Raw genomic sequence first — 9106 nt, 5'->3', positions numbered from 1 at the left:
GAGTTCGAGACCAGCCTGGCCAACATGGTGAAACCCTGGCTCTACTAAAAATACAAAAATTAGCCAGGCATAGTGGTGGGCACCTGTAATCCCAGCTACTCAAGAGGCTGAGTCAGGAGAATTGCTTGAACCCAGGAGGCAAAGGTTGAAGTGAGCCAAGATCACACCACTGCCCTCCACCTTGGGTGACAGACTGTCTCAAAAACAAAATAAAATAAAAATAAAAAGTGAGTCTGTAGTAAGTCTTAGTATTAATTTAGTTGTGTTTTTTCCAACATTCTTAATTAGTTTTAGGAATGTTGAATTGATATAATACTGAAGTAATGAATATCTACACTTACTGAAATGAAAACGATCTGAATCAAAGAGAAATACTAGACTGGGCACAGTGGCTCACACCTGTAATCCCAGCACATTGGGAAGCCAAGGAAGGAGGATTGCTTGAGGATAGGAGTTTGGGATTAGCCTGGGCAAAATAGCAAGACCCCTTCTCTATAAAAAAATTCAAAATAAAAATTAACCAGGTGTGGTGGCACACACCTGTAGTCTCAGCTACTTGGAAGGCTGGGGCAGGAACCTTGGGGATTGCTTGAGCCCAGGGGTTCAAGGCTTCAGTGAGCTATGACTGTAGCACTTCACTCCAGCCTGGCGACAGAGGGAGATCCTGCCTCAAAAAAAAAAAAAAAAAAAAAAAAAGATAAATACTAATGCTAGCTATCATTTTAAAAACTGGTAAAAACCTTAAAAGGACATGTTTATCTCTATTTGCCCTTGCAGAGAAACAGTCTCATAATCACAGGGTATTACATCTGAGGTATCACATGTCCTATGTCTTCACTATCCTCTAGAGAGAAGTTAAAATTCCTCATTCTTTTCAGATAACTGGTTCTCAATGAGGCTGACAAACTGGACAGTCCAGACCTGCACACTCTGGAGCTGATTCCAAGAGGGCTGAGGCCAAGATGGATAGATCATTGGATCTGGGGAAGGAGGGAGATGGAGGAGTGGAAGTGTGAACAGAAGAGAGGGATGGGGAAGGTGGCTAAGCTGGGGGCGCCTGTGCAATGTAACGTGAGGTCTGATATGATGACAGATAATAGGGTATAACAAAAAAGGGAAGCTAAGAAAAAGCAAATGGTCTCCCTGTCTACTTCACGTTCTTCTTCCTCTTGTTTCCTTTCTGTTTCCCTTTCTCTTTCCCTTCCCTTTTTGTTCCTTCCTGAACAATTCAGTTCTAATATCATGAAGGGTTGGTAGAGCAAGGTAGGTGTCTGTCTTAGTCCGTTTAGATTGCTTTAACAAAAATACCATGGACCGAGTGCCTTATAAACGATAGACATTTATTTCTCACAGTTCTGGAGGCTGCAAGTCCAAGATCAAAGTGCAGATTCAGTGTCTGGCAAGGGCCGGTTTCCTGGTTCATAGACAGCATCTTCTCGCTGTGTCCCCACATGGTGGAAGGGGCGAGGGAGCTCACTGGAGCCTCTTATAGAAGGACACTCATCCCAGCTGTGAGGACTCCACCTTCATGACCAAATCACCTCCCAAAGGCCCCCACCTCCTAATACTATGGCATTGGAGATTGGGATTGCAACATGCAAATTTGGGGAGAACATAAACATTCAATCCATAGCAGTGTTGGAGAAGAGAGGTGGCCCAGCGTGGAGAGTCAGAGTCCTGGTGGGTAAGACAGACGGGCAGCAGAAGGCCTGGTGCAGATGACAGAACCCAAGCATGAGAAGGGCATCCAGGCATGGGTGATATGGGTTGGCTGTGTCCCCAACCAAATCTCATCTTGAATTCCCACGTGTTGTGGGAGGGACCTGGTGGGAGGTAACTGAATCATGAGGGCAGGTCTTTCCCGTGCTGTTCTCATGATAGTGAATAAGTCTCATAAGATCTGGTTTATAAAGGGGAGTTTCGCTGCACAAGCTCTCTTCTCTTGTCTGCCACCATGTGAGACATGCCTTTCACCTTCCACCATGATTGTGAGGCCTCCCCAGCCACATGGAACTGTAAGTCCATTAAACCTCTTTCTTTTGTAAATTGCCCAGTCTCAGGTATGTATTTTTATTTATTTATTTATTTGGAGACGAAGTCTCACTCTTGTCCCCAAGACTAGAGTGCAATGGCGCAATCTAGGCTCACTGCAACCTCCGCCACCCAGTTTCAAGCAATTCTCCTGCCTCAGCCTCCCAAGTAGCTGGGATTACAGGCGCCTGCCACCATGCCCAGCTAATTTTTGTATTTTTAGTAGAGACAGGGTTTCACCATGTTGGCCAGGCTGGTCTCGAACTCCTGACCTCAGTTGATCCACCCGCCTTTGCCTCCCAAGTGCTGGGATTACAGGCATGAGCCACTGCGCCTGGCCTCAGGTATATCTTTATCAGCAGCATGAAAATGGATTAATACAATGGGGGAGAGGGAGTCAGCATGGGAGTGAGGGCCCAAGCAGGGTAGGGAAAGCATCCATGTGTGAGAATGGCCTGCAGTGGGATTTCAGGGCCCAGGCATGGTGAGGAGTGCATCCAGGCAGCAGGCAAAGTCCAGCACAGTGCAAGGCAGTCTGTGCCAGGGAGCTCCAGCATAAGGTGAGAAAGGTGTCCTCGCAAGGCCGAGACCTGGCATGGGGTGTCAGAGTTCAAGCAAGGTAAAGGGCAGCTCAGCCTGGGGACTCGGAGCCCAAATGTGGGAGGAGGGGGCCCGTGTGAAGGGGTGGTCTGGTGTGGAAGATCAGAGCCCGAGTGGGGTCAGGAGGGCCTCTGTGCATGTTGAAGACCCAGCACGGGGTGTCAGGGCCAGGCAGGGTGAGGAGGGTGTCCACATGTGGTGGGGGAGAAGGCAGGAGAGACTGATCATCTACAGGGGATTAGTCAAATAAGTCAGTATACTTAGAATAATGGGAGCCATGGTCTCACTGTCAGAGAAAGGAGATACAAATATGAAAAGAGAGAAAACTAGAATAAGTCCTGTGGTACTGGGCTGGAATTGAAGGTATTTTGGTGTGAGTAAAAACATACAGAAATAAACATACTTTTCTTTTTTTTTTCGGGGACAGAGTCTCACTCTGTCGCCCAGGCTGGAGTGCAGTGGCATGATCTTGGCTCACTGCAACCTCCACCTCCCGGGTTCAAGCGATTCTCTTGCCTCAGCCTCCCAAGTAGCTGGGATTACAGGCATGCACCACCACACCCTGCTGATTTTTTTGTATTTTTAGTAGAGACAAGGTTTCACCATGTTGGTCAGCCTGGTCTCAAACTGACCTGAGGTGATCCACCCACCTCAACCTCCCAAAGTGCTGGGATTACAGGCATCGGCCACCGTGCCCAGCCAAACATACATGTTTTTATGTTGTTGTTCTGGCTATCTAGAGGATTGGGAGCAGCAATAGCCCAATCACAGCGAGCACACCTGCTATCCAGATCTTGGTTTCTAAACACCATTCTCCACCAAAAGCTCCTTTGAGAAACGGCTGATTCCAGACTAGACAGGGGAAGCACAGGGTGGGCCTAGAACATGTACCCATCTCAGCAAAAAAGGAAGTGCTCAAAGAATGACTGAGATGTGTCAAAAGGATACAGAAGTCAGCTTGAGGTGGTCACTGAATATGGGAGAATTTGAGTATTAAAATAAAGATGGCAACAGATTATAACCTAGTGGATAAAATAGAAAGCCATGAATCCATACTGAACACATGCAGAATTTGATGAGGAAAGGGATTTTTTTTAGTATCTCCCTCAAGATACATATTCATTAAGAGGCAAAAAGAGCAACTTTACAGTGTAGAAGCTGAGCCAACAAATGCCACCGCATGTGTTATAATACAATAAGAAGACCGCACTACTCCTGAGCTATTCCCACTAAAGATGCATCACTTGGCCCTAACCGTGAGGGCACATCAGAGAAATGAAAACCAAAGTGCAGGCTACAAAGCAAGTGTCCTATTGAAACCACCTTTGCAAAATTATAACTCAGGAAATTATGACACTGGAAGAAATCAGATCTAACCAACTCCATCTTGCTTCTAACCTTTAAGCTGTCCTTGTTCATCCCTGGGCATAGGCCAAACTAACTTTGGGAAGGAATTCAATTCGTGGTTGGACTCTGAAACAAAATTGATAAAACCCCTTTCCCAAAAAGACCCCCTTCTTGCCTGGGACCACTCAGCCTTTGCAGGACTAACAAATTAGCTACAAGATTAGAAATTACTGGCCAGGCGCAGTGGCTCATGCCTGTAATCCCAGCACGTTGGGAGGCCAAGGCAGGCAGATCACCTGAGGTCAGGAGTTCAAGACCAGCCTGACCAACATGGAGAAACCCCATCTCTACTAAAAATACAAAATTAGCCGGGCGTGGTGGCACATGCCTGTAATCTCAGTTACTTGGGAGGCTGAGGCAGGAGAATTGCTTGAACCTGGGAGGTGGAGGTTGCGGTGAGCTGAGATCATGCCATTGCACTCCAGCCTGGGCAACAAGAGTGAAACTCCGTCTCAAAAAAAACCAAACAACAATAACAAAACAAACAAACAAAACAAGAAATTACAGTTTAGGGGTCATGCAGCCTCTGACTCCAAGAGTCTGAACCTCCCCAAATTGCTCCTGGCAATAACATCACTATTGTAAGACCTAAGATCAGTGCTTGAGATATTTTGCAAACCCTGCACTCAGTGGACCAGCTACCACCACCCAGACCAGTAATCTGGCTCAACCAGTTCTGCCATCCCACCCAAGAACAGAAAACAGCAAGAAAAACTCACTTCGACCCCCTGTGATTCCATCTCCATTGCACTCTCCACTTCCCAAGCCCCTACCCACCAAATTATCTTTAAAAACTTTAATCGCCAAATGCTCAGGGAGACTGATTTGAGTATTAACAAAACTCTGGTCTCCCACACAGTCGACTCTGTGTGAATTACGCTTTCTCCATTGTCCATTGCAACTCCCCTGTCATGATCAACCAGCTCTGTCTAGGCAGCGGGCAAGGTGAACCCACTGGACTGTTAAACTATTATCTCCAAAAATGGCAAGGTCATGTAGGTCGAGGGAAGACTAAAGAAGAAGACGTGACAATTCAATGCAATATGTGACCATGGATCTGGTCCTTTCACCATAAAGGACATTATTGGAACAACTGGCAACACTTGGGTGGGGTCTGAGGGTTCAGTGGTGGCAATGAGCCTGTGCTACCTTCCCGACGTCAATGGCTGAGCAGCAGTTATATCAGAGCCGTTCGAACCAGAGCGACTCCATCTTAAATAGGAGCTGAGTAAAATAAGGCTGAGACCTACTGGGCTGCATTCCCAGATGGTAATGGCATTCTAATTTACAGGATGAGATAGGAGGTCGGCACAAGATACAGGTCATAAAGATATTGCTGAAAAAACAGGTTGCAGTAAAGAAGCTGGCTAAAACCCACCAAAAACCAAGATGGTGCCGAGAGTGACCTCTGGTCATCCTCACTGCTTCACTCCCACCAGCTCCATGACAGTTTACAAACGCCATGGCAACATCAGGACTTGCCCTCTACGGTCTAAAAGGGGGAGGCATGAGTAATCCACCCCTTGTTTAGCATATCATCAAGAAACAGCCATAAAACTGGGCAATCAGCAGCCCTCAGGGCTGCTCTGTCTATGGAATAGCCATTCTTTTACTCCTTTACTTAATAAACTGGCTTTCGCTTTACAGACTCACCCGGAATTCTTTCTTGTGCGAGATCCAAGAACCCTCTCTTGGGGTCTGGATCAGGACCCCTTTCCTGTTATGCAGGAGGATGTCCTTATCTGTAGGAAGCACACCCTGAAGTGCTCAGGCTCAGTGGGCCTTCTGGCTGGCAACTGACTCTTCACTGCCCCAGAGAAAAAAGTTTTTGAGCTCTACTTGCGACTTTCCTTTAGGTATGTGGTTGTTAGTAAAACTGTAACAAACCTTTAAATAAATAAGGCATCCTCTTATTTTCTCTTAAATGTATGTCTTAAAGGGGTGTATTCATGATGACAGAGAAGTCAGTCTAGAAGGAGACAGATAGTAAGTGGGAGGCACCCCCGGCAACCCCGCCCCAGTCTGGATGAGTCAGCCCCCTCATTCTGCCTTTCCTGACCCCCAAGTCCAGCTCAGAAGCCCTTCTTAGGAGTTTCCCATGAGCCTCTATTTGCTGAACACAGCACTTCTGATCTGGTAATTTTAACGGCCCATTTACTTATAAATACCATGAGATTAGAGGTATTGTCTGACTTGCTCACCACTGTCTTCTTGGAGGTGGAGGCAATTTCAGGGACACAGTAGCTCCTCAGTAAGCATTTGCTGAACAAATGAAAGAATGGTTCACACTGACCCCAAAGAAGGTTTTCTCCCTAGTCTTGGACTATTTCTCTTTTTTCTTTCTTTTCTTTTCTTTTTTTTTTTTTTTTAGAGACAATGTCTGGCTCTGTCACCCAGGCTGGAGTGTGGCGGCACGATCTCAGCTCACTGCAGCCTCCACTTCCTGGGCTCAAGTGATCCTCTGGCCGCAGCCTGCCGAGTGGCTGGAACCACAGGCACACACACCAGGCCTGGCTAATTTTTGTATTTTTTTGTAGAGATGAGGTTTTGCCAGGTTGCCCAGGCTGGTTTCGAACTCCTGAGCTCGAGCAATCCACCTGCCTTGGCCCCACAAAGTGCTGGGATTACAGGTGTGAGCCACTGTTCCTGGCTGGAATGTTTCGAATCAAGCAGTTAAAAGGTAAAGACCAGTGCTGTAGCCGCATGATCCGCCTGTTCCTCAGCGTGGATAAAGCTCTTTGCCCTCCTTATGGAACTATGGCACGGTTTTGCTCTCGACTCTCTTGAGTCCTTGCAGAGGAGGCATGGAAAGATCTGGTGTGAGTCACTGCCATCGATCAACATGACATTGTTCTCGAAGGGCTCGCAGTGGGGAAACCTAAAAAGGAAGAAAATGAGAGCACTTGCCAAGGCTACTGAACAAAGGGTCAAGCACCCAGCCAGTCACTGAGTTCCAGACTCTTAATAACAAGGTTATGAAGCTATGCGAAGCCTTCATCCCTTCTCATAACTACACAGGCATGTCGGGGCTTCTGAAGTTGTGACAGTGATTTCCTTTAAAGAAAACGATTCTAAGTAAACCAAGGACACTTCACCCTTGACTTTGAAAATGTCTACAAACTTTCCCAGAGCAAATCTCTGCCGGCGTTTCTCACTTCCCGATCTGATCGGCCTGAGGAGCCCACGGGCTGGGCTGGCACGTTCTTTTGTTCAGCTTCTCTACCGGAAGGAGTTTGTGTAAAAAGGAATAGAAATCAGTGTTCATGCCACAATAGGGGTAATTGTTCTGAGCTGCCACATTCCGTTAAATGTTTACCTTTTTGTTTCACAATCTAACAGGAAACGAGGAGCAAAGGATTTTTGGTTCCCTTATCCCCCTTTGGTCAAGACTAAAAAAGACCAGTTGTTATTCTAGTTGCTCAAAAATGAAATGCTCAAGGTAGGAAATGAGCACAGTTGCTAAAGACTCCAGATCACAATCTGGGGTTTCAACCAAATCCGTTGCATGAAATGTTTCAGAGGAATGAGGCTTTGTCAACCTTCTCCATGTGCCTCCAGGACAGGATGTTTAGCAAGAGGTGCTGAACATTGTAACCATCTTTCTATGTGATCTATAGAACACTATGGATGACCAAGATAAAAAACTGGACAGATTAGATTCCTTAGTAGCCAAATACAAGGTAGGGAAGTGGCAAAAAGCTGGGACCCGTTGGGAAGGAGGCCGGAGGGCTTCGCCAGGCTCTCCTCCGCCATTTCAGATCCATCCTTCAAGACCAGACCCCAACCCAGCTTCTACTTCGAGGAGAAGTATTTGTTTAAAGTTCCATTTGTGGAATGGCCCAGCTGGGATGAAAACCAGGCTGTGAATTCTAGTACCAGCTCCACCCCTGAAAAACAGAGTAGAACCTCCCTGGGCTAACGTCTTCTAATAATCCAATCATAGAGTAAACTATGTCTTTTGGGGCATTTTAAACTTTTTTATTGCTTTGAAATAGAGTCAGGGGAAGAAAGACTTTACCATCTAGGTTCGATAGCTGGGTCTAGGAAATACACTGACAATACACAGATTTAACAGGAAAAAGGGTAAACAAATTTATTAATTTTTAATATGTGCACAGGGGCCATCATAGGAAGAAAAAAACAATATCACAAAAAAGTGATGCCATCTTAACAGAGAAAAGGGAGAGGAGATGTGGGCTACCGTGAGGAGAGGAAATGATTTTTAGGAAAGAAAAATGGGCCTTTAGAAGACTAGATGGGAGATACGAGGGTTTGTGGCAGTTTGTCCGGATGTTAAGGCAGCCCTTGCTGACTCCTGGGGAGGGGACTTAGGACAACTGATGTCCTTTTGGAGGCTCTGCCTTTGGGCAGATGAGAGGAGTTCAGGGAAACCATGTCTCTGCATTTACTGTTTTCCAGTGCTTTCTGCTCAAAATCACCAACATTCCAAAGTGGCATATTTGGGGGCAGTCTGTCCTGAACCCCTACTCGACAGTAAAAAACATTTTTTAAAAATTAAAAATGGGCCAGGCGCGGTGGCTGACACCTGTAATCCCAGCACTTTGGGAGGCTGAAGTGGACAGATCACTTGAGGTTAGGAGTTCAAGACCAGCCTGGCCAACATGGTGAAACCCCATCTCTACTAAAAATACAAAAATTGCCTGGGTCTGGTGGTGCTTGCCTGTAGTCCCAGCTACCCGAGAGGCTGAGGCAGGAGAATTGCTTGAACCTGGGAGGCAGAGGTTGCAGTGAACTGAGATCGTGCCACTGCACTCCAGCCTGGGCAACCGAGTGAGACTCCATCTCAAAAATAAACAAATAAAAATTAAAAATGGATAATTCGGTCATAAATAAGATTGTCATAGTGAAATAAATTTAATGGTTTTCAATACTTACTAAATATTTCTATATTCAAAGCCCAGTCCCTGAACTTTGCAGAGGCACTTGGGTTCAAGTCCCACCTCTGCCACTTACTAGCCGTGTAACTCGGGAGAAACCGTTTAACCTTTCCTTTCTGTGCCTCAGTCTCCACATCTACAAAAAGAGGGAGATAACAGTAGGGACTCAC

The 9106-nt window shown here is 46.3% G+C and overlaps 1 long non-coding RNA gene across 1 annotated transcript in view, besides 1 other annotated feature; it reads right to left on the bottom strand.

Annotated features, from left to right (window-relative positions):
• Positions 1–1319: 1319 nt before the first annotated feature.
• The window catches only part of ERRFI1-DT (ERRFI1 divergent transcript), a 100578-nt gene continuing 92791 nt past the window's right edge, over positions 1320–9106 (bottom strand). The window contains exon 3 of the long non-coding RNA NR_185980.1: positions 1320–6916. This is a non-coding gene — a long non-coding RNA (ERRFI1 divergent transcript). The remainder of the gene's footprint in view (positions 6917–9106) is intronic.
• Positions 6974–7283: an enhancer, noted in NCBI's record as "active region_100". NCBI's record gives its function as "activates an Ori minimal core promoter by ATAC-STARR-seq in GM12878 lymphoblastoid cells {active_cell/tissue: GM12878}" and the evidence as "EXISTENCE:reporter gene assay evidence [ECO:0000049][PMID:35858748]".

This window comes from Homo sapiens, chromosome 1 (genome assembly GCF_000001405.40).
Source record: "Homo sapiens chromosome 1, GRCh38.p14 Primary Assembly".
NCBI lineage: Eukaryota > Metazoa > Chordata > Mammalia > Primates > Hominidae > Homo > Homo sapiens.
This window is presented reverse-complemented; position numbering and strand designations above follow the sequence as displayed.